Source organism: Homo sapiens, chromosome 11 (genome assembly GCF_000001405.40).
Source record: "Homo sapiens chromosome 11, GRCh38.p14 Primary Assembly".
NCBI lineage: Eukaryota > Metazoa > Chordata > Mammalia > Primates > Hominidae > Homo > Homo sapiens.
Window position 1 is genome coordinate 26597596 of NC_000011.10, and position 14871 is coordinate 26612466.

The following is a 14871-nucleotide window of genomic DNA, read 5'->3' on the forward strand; positions in this document are numbered from 1 at the left end:
AGAAGAGTGTGCAGTTGCAAGATTTAATAGAGTGAAAACAGAGCTCTCATACAATGGGAGGGGACCCAAAGAGGGTTGCCCCAGTACCACAGATTTCTAAAACATATATGTGAGTTCTTAGTTGTGTCCACAAAGTCTTGAATGGTGTAAGATAGAGCCCGTCTAGAAAAAAAATAAAACAGCAATCGTTTTCTTAACTGTTTAAACGGGAAAGCTGACAGTTCAGGAATTTCTTTACTTTTTCCACTGAGTCCTTTTCAGTCCATGTAGAGTCCACCCAGAATATGAATTTGGGAGTTTCTTCTCTTGTCTTTCTTTTCTTCTCCTTCACCACGAGAGTTTGTTCTTTTGTTCTCTCTCCTACACCATCTCTCTGTAAGCTCTGGACGAGTAGCATTTGGCCTTTATTGTGATTCTTGGAGAAGGCTTTATTTGAGTCTTTAGATAATTTTGAATAAGCATATGCAGGTCAAAATGGTCAATATTTAGCTCAGTAATATTGATTGCATCATTTTGATGAGCTGTGCTGACAAAAAGTCCCTGCTTCTTGGTTCCAGTAAAAGAAATCACACCCCTCTAGCAGTGTATGCTAATAGATACACTAATTAATGATGTATAAACACAGGGAGAAGAGGAAAAGGGAAAAATAAAATTTTAATTTATTATTTTCATAATTTAATTTTAATTATGAGATAAGATATCTCAATATAAAGAAGAAAAGCAATATGATGTGATTTGGGTAAAGAATTATCATTTTTATATTTTATAGCCACAGTCTTCCTGGAGTTTTGGAAAAGGAGAAGGAGTATACTGACCTATACTTGGGACCTTATCGAATGGGAAGAAGAGGAGGTAAGATGTTAGGATACAAGGAAATAGGGAAACTGGGCTATTACAGGATATGGAAAATTACTGCCCTAGCATTCCGGCTGGAAGCAGTTAACCACCATTAGATTTTTCCCTTGATCTTTCCTACTAAAAAGATTTATTATTTTATGAAGATAATAGAGATCAATGAAGTATGTATTTTTCAAACCACTTCTGTGATGTTTCTTTAAATTACATTAGTGGAAAATTATGCTAATTTCAATACTGCTCGGGATTTATTTGGAAGGTAATTTGATGTTATTTTTAAAAGGTTGCTTTATTGTGAAGACTTAATACAAAAGTAGGCCAAATTTAGGAGTATCGTATCAATTCTTGGGGGTATGTTTTTTTAGTTTATGGCTTTGATATTTAGATAACTTTCGTTTCTCTCATAGGAAACACTTCGTCCCCAGTTTGAAGCCAAGTATTACAAGATGGAGATTGTAAATCCCATCACGGGAAAACCTGAACCACATCAGCCTTCCTCAGACAAAGTCACTCGTCTTCTTGTTTCTGTCTCAGGAATATTCTTCATGGTAAAGTATAGGCATCGATATCAAAATGTTTTGGGATTCTAAATTTAGAAGTAAGTTCAATGATACCAACTCATTTTGTGACGTTGAGAATGTCAGAAACCTTATTCTTTCCAACAACTTGGTAACACGTACAATTAAACAAACAAATCACAACAGGTTATGGAGATTTTACAAAGGCAGTTTGTGCACCTTTTTAAAGAAAATACTCTTTGGGAGAAACAGAGACCATCTAAGATAAAATGGAAATTATATCAGTTGACCTGATGGATTAGACATCTTGTGTTAAAAATGAGCATTCCATTTAAGAGGACGTTGGGAAGAATTTGCATGTTAGTGTGATAACTTTGTTATCATACTAAAACAACAAATTTTGTCCTATTTGTTTTGACTAGAATATAACTTCCTTAAAGGAGAAAATTAAATCTAGATATCCTTTCTTGGAAAGGTAAATACCTTCAATTCTTGGGGACAGTAGATTTGATCTACGGTTTTGCTTTTGACTTGTTAATGATGTAAAATATGGATGTTTTTTCTGGTGTCCAATATTGTAGATATCCTTGGTGATCACTGCAGTGTTTGGAGTTGTGGTGTACCGCCTGGTTGTCATGGAACAGTTTGCATCATTCAAGTGGAATTTCATCAAACAATACTGGCAGTTTGCAACATCTGCTGCTGCTGTCTGTATCAATTTCATAATCATTATGTTGCTGAATCTTGTAAGTGTCTATAATGTTATTCTTCAGTAGACAAAAAAGGGGTGGAAAGGGGAGAGGTCTATGTTTCCTTTATATTTGAAATGTATTTACATGGAGCCAAAATAAGACCAAGCCACATTTCTGTCAATGACAATTCAGTTTAACAGAAAAGATTTCATCTTTGTAGTTTAGATGATAGATTTTTGAAATTAAAATAAATGCTAATTGTATTATCTTCCCTGCATTTTGGGTTTATAATCTGATTAGTGATAGCTTCCATTCAGTTAGTATCTCGTGTGTGCTAGAGATGGTGCCATGCACTTTTCAAACAAATAAAGAATTGTTTGGGCTTTAAAATCATCCCAATAAACTCCATTTTATGGGAAAACTTGTTGGAAAGATATGGGAAAATCTTTTTGAAAGCGAAGTATTGTTATCTACTAGTCTTCATGTGAAATGAAAAACAGTAAGGCAATTATTCCAGTTTTCTTTCTCTGGAACTACTGTTTCTCTCTCCCTTGTCTTCTTCCCTCTTCTCTCGTCTCCTTTCCTCTCCTCTCCTCTCCTCTCCTCTCCTCTCCCCTCCCCTTCCCCTCTCCCCTTTCCTCCCCTCTCCTCTCCTCTCCCCTCCCGTCTTCTCTCCCCTCTCCTTTCCTCTCCCCTCTCCTCTCCTCTCCCCTCTTCTCTCCCCTCTCCTCTCCTCCCCACCTCCCTTCCCCTGCCCTCCTCTCCTCCTCTCCCCTCCCCTCTCCTCCCCTCCCTTCTCCTTTCCTCCTCCCCTCCCCTCCCCTCTTCCCCTCCCCTCCTCTCATCCTCTTCCCATCTCTCCTCTCCTTCCTTCTCCTCTTCTCTCTCTCCCTTAATCCCTCCCTCTCTCACTTCCTCTCCCTCCCTTCCTTCCTCTCCCTCCATTCCTTCTTCTCACTCCCCCTCCCTCCTTCCCTCCCTCCCTTTCTACCTTCTTTCCTTTCTCTCCTTTTCCCATTGCTTCTCTTTGCATGCCTGCTCTATTCTATCAGGAAGATAACTGTTTTTTGCCTAACTATACCATTTTGTCATAGTCTGGCATGCTGTGGCATTGCTACGCCTTTATTCTTTGACTCTCTCTATGACCATGTTCCTCATGTTTCAACTGCTTATTTAACTTAAATCATCCAGTATTTTTATGTGCTAGTTACTCAAAGAAAGCACCTTTTTGTTTCAACATCGCATGCACTTAATGACTTGTGGACCAAATATCCATGGTTAATGGGACAAGAGTATGCATAGGCCTACCTCTTCAATCAGGTCTATCAATGGGAACCAATTTCCTCTGAAAATAGAAGGCACCTATTGGCACATTAAGGATAATATCTTTAATTCTTCCAACAGCTCCACAAAGTCAATTTATCCTTCATTATGTAAATAATGAAACTGAGATTCAAAGAGCTTAAATAACCTGCATATAGTAAGTGTTAATGTTAGTATATTTACATCATGAGATAATTTATATGATATAGCTGAGCCATACATAAGTAATAAGGTTGGTATTATAGATAGATAATATGCATTTGGTTCCAAATGTGATTGATACTCATGTTACTTGTTTAGCCTGGAGGGAGTTGAGACCATTTGCTATTTAACTTTAAAACAATAATCAGAGAAGATCTTAAGAGAAAAGTGAACAGTCACAGTTATAAATGAGTACTCATTATTATGAGGACAATAGTTAACATATTCTACTGGAGTTTGCTTTGCTCGGGTCCAGTTTAGTTTGTAGAAAGTGAATACTGTTTACATTATCTCTAAACGAGCCATAAAATAATTTATGCTCTTGACTCATAATTTAAAGTGTATAATAAACATTGAAAAAAAATACACTTTTAGAAGTAGGAAACCTATATGGTAGTATATATAAGATAGTATAGGTTGTGCACTGCACAAGCATCACATTGATGGAAGAGCCATTTTCAGCACAGACACTGTAGATTTTTATATTTTTGCTGTTACTTTTCTGGTATATAGTAAAACATCATGTTTGTAACAAAATCAGTACAAACTATGACAGCTTTTCAGTAGACAGAGGTTATTGCAATTGGCCCTATTATCTGGGAAAAGATAACTAAGTAGTTGTGTCGATTTCTAGGTCACAGAAGCAGTTGCCCAATTTGATCTTAAATTGACTCATTTCTTATCGTAAGTAGGTTGGTTGACAAAAAAATTAATAATAGTAGCTGGTCATAGTTCTGCTACCCAGGATCTTATAGTCTAGTGGGGAAAGAGAATTGAAGAATTCAGTGAAAAATGCACAATAGTTGAAGCAAAAAGGGCCCTGAGTAAGGTGAGAAAAAGGTCATCTATTGCACGTGAAATGGGATGGTACGTTTTATGATAGTGGATCAGAAGACTTGAATGGAAGAAGAGAGGGTGCTTATTCTGATCAGCCAAGAAAGAGCAGAAAGGAGATTGTTGTTTGAAGAAATTCAACCCACAGATGGACAGAAGCACAGAAATGCATGTTCTTTGCCCTAAGGAAATAATGGGAAGTGTCTGTGAAGCATATTAGAATAAAGAAAAATAAGACTAGAAAACTAAATCAGTGCCTAGCTTTGGAGGTGTGAGTGGCATGTAAAGAGTATGGATATGATGTTGTTTTTTGCCCACTGTGGGCAGTGGGAAGCCATACTTGATGGTATTTGATAGGTAAATAGCCACAAATCATCTTATCAGATACATTTATCGATATAAAGGAGATTAAAATATTAGAAGAGGGGCCAGGCATGGTGGCTCATGCCTGCAATCCCAACACTTTGGGAAGTCAAGGCAGGAGGATTGCTTGAGCCCAGCAGTTTGAGACCAGCCCGGGCAACATAGTGAGATCTCATTGCTACAAAAGTTTTTTTTTCTTTTCTTTTCTTTTTTTTTTTTTTAAAGCCAAGTGTGGTGGTGCACACCTGTAGTCTCAACTACTCAGGAGGCTGAGGTGGGAGGGTCAGTTGAGACCAGAGGCCAAAGCTACAATAAGCTGTGATCACCCCACTGTACTCCAGCCTGAATGACAACATGAGACCAAGTCTCAAAAAAAAAAGACATTACTGTGTAATAGAACACTAGAACTTATTTCTTCTATCTAATTATAATTTTGTACCCATTGATCAACGTCCCCTCATGTAATTGCTACCCCTCCCCAACCCATGTAATTACTGTGCTGGTAAGTTTGAAAACTCTCAAGAAAATGTAAGCCTTTCTGGGGAAAAGATAAATAGTCACAACTGCTTAAAGTAAAAGTAGATATTCTAAGTAGATTGTCAATCATGAAAGAAATTGAAAGAAAGATTACAAACTAACAAAGCAGTCTTATCATAGGCACCGTATTACATTTTTAAAAAATTTTAAATAAAAAGATAATTACCTGTTGTGCAAATTAATCCAGCATTTAGATAAAGAAATAATGCTTCCTGGGCAAACATAAAACTGATTTTTAAAATATATCTGGCAAAGCTAGAATCAAAACTCAAACTAAAGAGCATTTACAGCTATATACATAATAGTGGCAAGTATAGATCAAAATATTTTCTAGAGTTACCTCTTGAAAGGAAGAATACAAGTAATTTTTATTTTCTTTACATGTTGTCTAATATTTATCACCTATTTTGAATTTTCTAGATTTGCTACAATAAGCTTATATTCTATTCAACTCTAGTAAAGGACAAACCTTTTTTAAAATTAATTTCCAATATTCTATTTTAAAGGAATTATCAATAATATCATCCAAGATTCATATAGAAGGATTATCATTGTAGTATTATTTAGAGTAGTAGATATTAAAAAAGAGACCCCTTAAATAACCAAAAATAAAAAAAAGTTATTCAAATTCTATGTAAGGTAGTATCATATAAACTATTAAAATGCTCTTTGAATGTTATTTAAGAACATGAAATACAGTTATATAAGGATATAAAAGTTTACTTGATTCCATTTTTTCTAGAATACACATACAGTCTCCTGGATTTTGAAACTTTAAGAAATTACAATCAAATATTAACAATATTGGTCCCTCAATAGTGAGAAAAAATGTGGCACACCCTTTTGATTTAGTATAAATTTTGCTTATAGGGATTTGTATTTGTTCACCTAGTATATTTATTTTAATTCACATATTGTAATGGTACAGGTTTAGGAGTATAATTGGATGTTTTAAACATATGTATGTTGTATAATTGTCAACTCAGGGTATTTAGCATGACCATCACCTGATGGCATTTATCATTTCTTTGTGATGGTCATCCAAGCCTCTTTTCTAGCTATTTTGTAATGTAAAATACCTAAGTGTTACACAATGTCACCCTACTGTGCAGTAGAACACTAGAACTTATTTATTCTATCTAATTATAATTTTGTACCCATTGATCAACCTCTCTCAATCCTCCCCTCCCCAACCCAGTATCTGATAACACTTCCTCTATGATATGAACTCATTTATTGATTTTTAAGAAATCCTCTCCCCATTGCTTGTTTTTGTCAGGTTTGTTGAAGATCAGATGGTAGTAGATACGTGGTGTTATTTCTGAGGTCTCTGTACTGTTCCATTGGTGTATATGACTGTTTTGATACTAGTACCATGCTGTTTTGGTTACTGTAGCCTTGTAGTATAGTTTGAATTCAGGTAGTGTAATGCCTCCAGCTTTGTTCTTTTTGTTTAGGATTGTCTTGGCTATACGGGCTCTTCTTTGGTTTCATATGAAACTTAAAGTAGTTTTTTTCTAATTCTGTGAAGAATGTCAATGGTAGTTTGATGGGAATAGTATTGAATCTATAAATTACTTTGGGCAGTATGATTATTTTCACAATATTGATTCTTCCTAACCATGAGAATAGAATGTTTTTCCATTTATTTATGTCATCTCATATTTCCTAGAGCAGTGGTTTATAGTTCTCCTTGAAGAGTTCTTTCAGATCCCTTGTTATCTGTATTCCTAGGAATTTTATTCTCTTTGTAGCAATTGTGAGTGGGAGTTCATTTATGATTTGGCTCTCTGCTTGTCTATTGATGGTATGTATAGGAATGCTTGTGATTTTTGCATATTGATTTTGTACCCTAAGACTTTGCTGAAGTTGCTTATCAGCTTAAGGAGTTTTGGGGCTGAGACAACGAGGTTTTCTAAATGTAGAATCATGTCATCTGCAAACACAGACAATTTGACTTCCTCTCTTTCTATTCGAATACCCTTTGTTTCATTGTTTTGCCTGATCGCCCTGCCCAGAACTTGCAATACTATGTTGAATAGGAGTGGTGAGAGAGGGCATCCTGTCTTGTATTGATTTTCAAAGAGAATGCTTCCAGCTTTTGCTCATTCAATGTGATATTGGCTGTGGGTTTTTCATAAGTAGCTCTTATTATTTTGAGATATGTTCCATCAGTACCTATTTTATTGAGAGTTTTTAACCTGAAGGGATATTGAATTTTATCGAAGGCCTTTTCTGCATCTATTGAGATAACCAAGACAAATTTTTGTCGTTGGTTCTGTTAATGTGATGGATTACGTTTATTGATTTGCATATGTTGAACCAGCCTTGTATCCCAGGGGTGAAGCCAACTTGATGGTGGTGGATAAGTTTTTTGATGTGCTGCTGGATTCGGTTTGCCAATATTTTATTGAGGATTTTTGCACCAATGTTTCACACCAATGTCAGGGATATTGGCCTGACATTTTCTTTTTTTGTTGTATCTCTGCCAGGTTTTGGTATCAGGATGATTCTGGCCTCATAAAATGAAATAGAGAGGAGTCCCTCTTTTTCTATTGTTTGGAATAGTTACAGAAGGAATGGTACCAGCTCCTCTTTGTACCTCTGGTAGAATTCGGCTGTGAATCCATCTGGTCCTGGGCTTTTTTTGGTTGCTAGGCTATTAATTACTGCATCAATTTCAGAATATGTTACTGTTATTGGTCTATTCAGGGATTCGACTTCTTCCTGGTTTAGTCTTGGGAGGGTGTATCTGTCCAGGAATTTCTTCCTTCCATTTCTTCTAGATTTTCTAGTTTATTTGCATAGAGGTGTTTATAGTCTTCTCTGACGGTAGTTTGTATTTCCGTGGGATCAGTGGTGATATCCCCTTTATCATTTTTTATTGTGTCTATTTGATTCTTCTCTCTTTTCGTCTTTATTAGTCTGGCTAGCAGTCTATTTTGTTAATCTTTTAAAAAAAAACCAACTCCTGGATTCATTCATTTTTTTGAAGGGGTTTTCATGTCTCTACCTCCTTCTGTTCTGCTCTGATTTTAGTTATTTCTTGCCTTCTGCTAGCTTTTGAATTTGTTTGCCTTTCCTTCTCTAGTTCTTTAAATTGTGATGTTAGGGTGCTGATTTTAGATCTTTCCCACTTTCTCTTGTGGGCATTCAGTGCTATAAATTTCCCTGTAAATACTGCTTTAGCTGTGTCCCAGAGATTCTTGTATGTTGTGTCTTTGTTCTCACTGGTTTCAAAGAACTTATTTATTTCTGCCTTAATTTTGTTATTTACCCAATAATCATTCAGTTCACTTTCTATGTAGTTGTGTGGTTTTGAGCGAGTATCCTAATCCTGAGCTCTAATTTGATTGCAGTGTGGTCTGAGAGACTGTTTGTTATGATTTCCATTCTTTTGCATTTGCTGAGGAGTGTTTTACTTCCAATTATGTGGTCAATTTTAGAATAAGTGTGATGTGGTGCTGAGAAGGATGTATATTCTGTTGATCTGGGGTGGAGAGTTCTGTTGATGTCTATTAGATCTGCATGGTCCAGAGCTGAGTTCAAGTCCTGAATATCCTTATTAATTTTCTGTCTCATTGATCTATCTAATATTGACAGTGGGGTGTTAAGGCCTCCCACTATTCTTTGTTGGTTTAAAGTCTGTTTTATCGGAGACTAGGATTGCAATCCCTGCTTTTTTTTTTGGCTATTTGCTTGGTAAATTTTCCTTCATCCCTTTATTTTGAGCCTGTGTGTGTCCTTGCCCATGAGATAGGTCTCCTGAATATAGGACACACATGGGTCTTGACTCTTTATCAAATTTGCCAGTTTGTGTCTTTTAATTGGGGCATTTAGCCCATTTACATTTAAGGTTAATATTGTTATGTGTGAGTTTGATCCTGTCATCCTGATGCTATCTGGTTATTTTGCACACTAGTTGATGCAGTTTCTTCATAGTGTCATTGATCTTTATATTTTGGTGTGTTTTTGCAGTGGCTAGTACCAGCTTTTCCTTTCCATATTTAGTGCTTCCTTCAGGAGCTCTGGCAAGGCAGGTCTGGTGGTGATGAAATTCCTCAACATTTGCTTGTCTGGAAAGGATTTTATTTCTCCTTTGCTTATGAAGTATAGTTTGACTGGATATGAAATTCCATATGATATTATATGAAATTGTTTTGAAAATTCTTTAAGAATGTCAAATATTGGCCCCACTCTCTTCTGGCTTGTAGGATTTCAGCTGAGAGGTCCACTCATAGTCTGATGGACTTCCCTTTGTAGGTGACCTGAAATAAAATAAAATATTTTAAATTTTTAAACAAAATAAAATATTAACATGACTTCCCTTAATATTTTTTCCTTCATTTCGACCTTGGAGAATCTGATAACTATGTGTCTTCGGGTTAATCCTCTCGTGGAGTATCTTCTTGTTCTCTGTATTTCCTGAATTTGAATGTTGGCCTGTCTTGCTAAGTTGGGGAAGTTCTGCTGGATAATATCCAGAAGTGTGTTTTCCAGCTTGTTCCATTCTCCTCATCTCCTTTATATACTCCAATCAATTGTAGGCTCTGTCTTTTTACACAGTGCCTGTTTCTCAGAGGCTTTGTTTATTCCTTTTCATTCTTTTTTCTCTAGTCTTGTCTGCATGCCTTATTTCAGCAACATGGTTTTCAAACTCTGACATCCTTTCTAATATTGCCAGTGGGGTGTTAAGGCCTCCTACTATTATTGTGTGGGAGTCTACGTCTCTTTGTAGGTCTCTAAGAACTTGCTTTATGAATCTGAGTGCTCCTGTATTGGGTGCATAGAATCACTTGGTCGATTCAGCTATTGATACTTGTGTATGCTTTATGAAGTTCTTGTGTTGTGTGTTTCAGCTCCATCAGGTCATTTATGTTCCTCTCTAGATTGGTTATTCTACATAGCACCTCCTCTAACCTTTTACCAAGGTTCTTAGCTTCTTTGCATTGGGTTAGAACCTGTTCCTTTAGCTCAGTGGTGTTTGTTATTACTCATCTTCTGAAGCCTACTGCTGTCAATTTGTTCTCATCCTTTGTCCAGTTCTGTGCCCTTGCCGGAGAGGCGTTGCAATCATTTGGAGGAGAAAAGGTATTCTGGCCTTTTGGGTTTTCAGCATTTTTTCGTTGATTCTTTCTCATCTTCGTTAGTTTGTCTAGTTTCGATCTTTGAGACTGCTGACCCTTGGATGGGGTTTTTGTAGGGACTTTTTTGTTGTTGTTGATACTGTCGTTCTTGCTTTCTGTTTGTTTTTCTTTCAATGGTCAGGTCTCTCTTCTGTAGGGCTGCTGCAGTTGACTGGGGGTTCCCTTCAGGCCCTATTCATTTGGTTCACCCCCATGCCTGTAGATGTCACACAAGGAGGCTGGAGAACAGAAAAGATGGGTGCCTGCTCATTCCTCTAAGATCTCTGACCTCCAGGAGCACCAAGCTGATGCCAGAAGGATTTCTCCTGCATAGGGTGTCTGACAACCCCTGCTGGAGGGTCTCACTCAGTTGGGTGGCACGGAGTACAGGGGCAATATAATGAAGCACTTTTACTGTCCCTTGGTGGAGGGGGTGTGCTTTGCTGGAGGGGAAACCCAGTCTTCTCGGCTGCCTGGATTTCTCAGAATTAAGAGGAGGAAAGGCTAAGTCTGCTGGTTTATAGAAACTGCAGCCACCCCTGTCCCTGGGGACCCAGGCCCAGGGAGATTAGAGTTCTGTCCCTGAGCCCCTGGCTGGAGTTATTGGAGTTCCTGCAGAGAGGCCTCGCCCAGTGAGGAGGGATGGGTCAGGGTAAGGCCTGAAGAGGTACTCTGGCTGCAGTCTGCCACAGCAGACTGTGTGTTGGGCTGTGGGGGACACCTCTTGTGAACAAACCGTCCAGCCTCCCTGGCTCCAGCACGGGAAAAGCACAGCCTGGAGTTATAGAGATACCTGCCATCTTCCCCTGCCCAGGTAGCTTAGTGTGTTAGGCAGCTATTAGTCCCAGTGCTGGCTGCTGCCCGTCCTTCAAAGAGCTCAAAGGGCTTAGACAGCAGGCACCTGCAGCTGTGGTGCTGGTCGCCCCTCCCCCAGGGAACTCAACGGGCTTAAGCAGATTCTAGTTGAGAGGCTTTTGAGAATCTATGCAGCTCCATGGTTGGGACCCTAGTCCCCAGTGGCATGGGTTCACAAGTGGGATCTTCAAATCCATGGGTTGCAATAGTTCCGTGGAAAAAGCAGTTTCCCAGGCTGGGTAGCACGCTGACTGGCTGCCTCCCTTGGCTGGGGGCATGGAGGCTCCCTTATCCCCTGTGGCTCTCAGGTGGGCCGCCACACCACAGTGCTGTTCCTTCCACTCAGTGGAGCACACCAGCCGCCTAGTCAAGTCTGATGAGAGAACTTGGATACCTTGGTTGCAGGTGTAGGATTCACATGCTATTCACATGCAGGATCACATGCAGGATTCACATGCTATCCTGCAGGTGCAGGATATCACATGCAGGATTCACATATCCTGCAGGATATCACATGCAGGATTCCCATATCCTGCAGGTGCAGGATATCACATGCAGGATTCACATATCCTGCAAGATATCACATGCAGGATTCACATATCCTGCAGGTGCAGGATATCACATGCAGGATTCACATGCTAATATTCACGGTTCTTTTGGAGGGGAGCCTGCAATCACCGCTGCTTCTAGTCAGCCATCTTTGGCCCCGCCCCCCACCACATTTTCTTCATCTATTCATCCATTGAAGGACATGTGTTGATTCCATATCTTCACTATTGTAAATTGTGCTGCAATAAACTTAGGAATTCAGATATCTCTTCTACATACTGATTTCATTTCTTTGGATATATACCCAGTAGTGAGATTGATGGATCATATAGTAATTCTATTTTTCATTTTTCTGAGGAACCTTCATAGAGTTTTCCACAGTGGCTATACTAATTTACAATTCCACCAACAGTGTGTAAGTGTTCCCTTTTCTTTGTATCCTAGCCAACGCTAGTTTACTTTGTATTTATTTATTTATTTGAGACGGAGTTTCGCTCTTGTTGCCCAGGCTGGACTGCAATGGCGCGATCTCAGCTCACTGCAAACTTCACCTCCTGGGTTCAAGCGATTCTCCTGCCTCAGCCTCCAGAGTAGCTGGGATTACAGGCGTGTGCCACCGCACCCAGCTAATTTTGTATTTTTAGTAGAGGCGGGGTTTCTCCATGTTGGTCAGACTGGTCTCTAACTCCTGACCTCAGGTGATTCGCCTGCCTCAGCCTTCCTAAGTGCTGGGATTACAGGCGTAAGCCACCGCTCCCGGCCTACTTTGTATTTTTGATTCTAGCCATTCTAACTGGAGTGCAGTATGATCTTATTGTGGTTTTGGTTTTCATTTCTCTGATGACTAGGGATGTTGAGCATTTTTTTTTTTTTTTTTTACATACCTGTTGACCATTTCAATGTCTTTTTTTTTGAGAACTGCCTATTATTTTTCCAATTTTCTAATCAGGTTATTTGTTTTTTTGTTGTTATTTAAGTCCCTATATATTCTGCACATAAACCCCTTGTCAGATATATAGTTGCAAATATTTTCTCCCATTCTGTTGTTTCCTTTGCTGTGTAAAAACTTTTTAATTTGATGTGGTCTCATTTGTCTATTTTTCATTTTGTTTCCTGTGCTTTTGCAGCCTTTTTAAAAAACATCCTTGCCCAGCCCAAAGTCATACAGCATTTCCCCTACATTTTCTTTTAGTAGATTCATAGTTTTAGGTTTTACAGTTGAGTCTTTAATTGCAATTGAGTTGATTTTTGTATGTAGTGAAAGATAGTGTTGTTTTTTGTTTTTTGTTTTTGCACATAGGTATTCAATTTTAGGTCCTAGGCCTTTTTTCGGTAGATGACTATTTATTACTGATTCAGTTTCCTCACTCATTATTGGAGTGTCCAGATCTTCTGTTTCTTCCTAATTTAATCTTGGTAACTTGTATTTGTCAAGGAATCTATCCAGTTCATCTATGTTCGCAAACTTTTTGGTGTATAATTGTTCATCATAGTCTCTTATGATGCTTTGTATTTCTGTGATGTCACCTGTAATGTGTCCTTTTTCATCTCTGATTTTATTTATTTAGGTCTTTCCTCTTTTTTTCTGTGGTGACTCTAAGATTTCTCATATTTGTTAATCTTTTCAATAAAACTGTTAATTTTGTTGATTTTTTTGAAAACTTCAAAAGTCACTATTGTATTTATTTCTGCTCTGAGCTTTATTATTTACAATTTGGGGTTTCGTTTGTCTTTTTTTCCTACTTTTTGAGCTGCATGGTCAGGTTATTGGGAATCTTTGTTTATTGTTTAGGCATTTATTTCTATAAACTTCTCTCTTAGAACTGCTTTTGCTGTGTCTCATAGGTTTTGGTATGATGTGTTTCCAGTCTCATTTGTCTCAAGTAATTTTTCAATTTCTCTTTTAATTTATTCATTGAATTATTCGTTATTTAGAAGTATGCTGTTCAATTTTCATGTTCGTAAGATTTCTTAACTTTTTCTTGTTTATTTCTAGTTTTGTAATATTGTGGTCTAAAAGGATACTCGATATGATCTCTGTCTTCTTAAATTTTTTAAGACTAGTTTTGTGGCCTAACATGTGATCTATCCTGGAGAATGTTCTATATGCAGTTGAGAAGAATGTTTACTCTGCAGCTGTTGGATGGAATGTTCTGTAAATATCTGTTACGTCCATTTGGTCTATGGTGTAGTTTAAGTCTAATTTTTTGTGTTGGTTTTCTGTCTAGATTATCTATCCACTGTTGAGGGTGGGGTGTTGAAGTTTCCCACAATTGTATTGTAGTCTGTCTTTCTCTGCCTTTATATCTGATAATATTTGCTGTACATATTTGGGTGCTCTGGTGTTAGGTACATATATATTTCCAATTGTTATACCCTCTTGTTGAATGGATCCCTTTATCATTATATAATTTTTTTTTGTCTTTTTACAGTTTTTGACTTAAAGTCTATTTCATCTCATATAAGTATGGCTATTCCTGCTCACTTTTGGTTTGCATTTGCATGGAATATCTTTTTCCATGCCTTCACTTTCAGCCTACCTTTGTCTTAATGGCGAGGTGAGTCTTTTGTAGACAGCATACAGTTGGATATATTTTTTAATCCATTTGGCTACTCAGTATCTTTTAATTGGAGAATTTGTTCCATTTGTATTCACAGTTATCATTGATAGATAAGGACTTACTCCTGACATTTAGTTAATGATTTCTTGGTTGTTTATAGATCATCTGTTCCTTTCTTTGTCTCTGTTTGTTTACCTCTGTGGGTTGATGGTTTTCTGTGGTGCTATGCTTTGTTTTCTTACTCTTGGCATTTGTGTGACTGCTGTAATTTCTTTCTTTCGGGCTACCATGGGGCTAACCTAAATAATCTTGTAGATGTATTATTTTAAGATTTATTATTTTAACGTAACTTTGTTCACATAAAAAATACCATAGGCTCTTTCCCTCCCCCTACAATTTATATTTCTGATGTTTAATTTTTACTTCTTCATCTATTAGGTGTTCCTAAGCCACGAAT

General features: G+C 37.7%; 1 protein-coding gene across 7 annotated transcripts in view, besides 2 other annotated features; it reads left to right on the plus strand.

Annotated features, from left to right (window-relative positions):
* Positions 1–14871, plus strand: part of ANO3 (anoctamin 3) — a 474482-nt gene that overhangs the window by 408788 nt on the left and 50823 nt on the right. For all 7 annotated transcript variants that reach the window (NM_001313726.2, NM_031418.4, XM_047427399.1 and 4 more), the window contains 3 exons: positions 770–852; positions 1263–1403; positions 1955–2119. In NM_001313726.2, coding sequence (NP_001300655.1) covers positions 770–852; positions 1263–1403; positions 1955–2119 — 389 coding nt within the window. The remainder of the gene's footprint in view (positions 1–769; positions 853–1262; positions 1404–1954; positions 2120–14871) is intronic.
* Positions 10293–10592: an enhancer, noted in NCBI's record as "active region_4541". NCBI's record gives its function as "activates an Ori minimal core promoter by ATAC-STARR-seq in GM12878 lymphoblastoid cells {active_cell/tissue: GM12878}" and the evidence as "EXISTENCE:reporter gene assay evidence [ECO:0000049][PMID:35858748]".
* Positions 11123–11332: an enhancer, noted in NCBI's record as "active region_4542". NCBI's record gives its function as "activates an Ori minimal core promoter by ATAC-STARR-seq in GM12878 lymphoblastoid cells {active_cell/tissue: GM12878}" and the evidence as "EXISTENCE:reporter gene assay evidence [ECO:0000049][PMID:35858748]".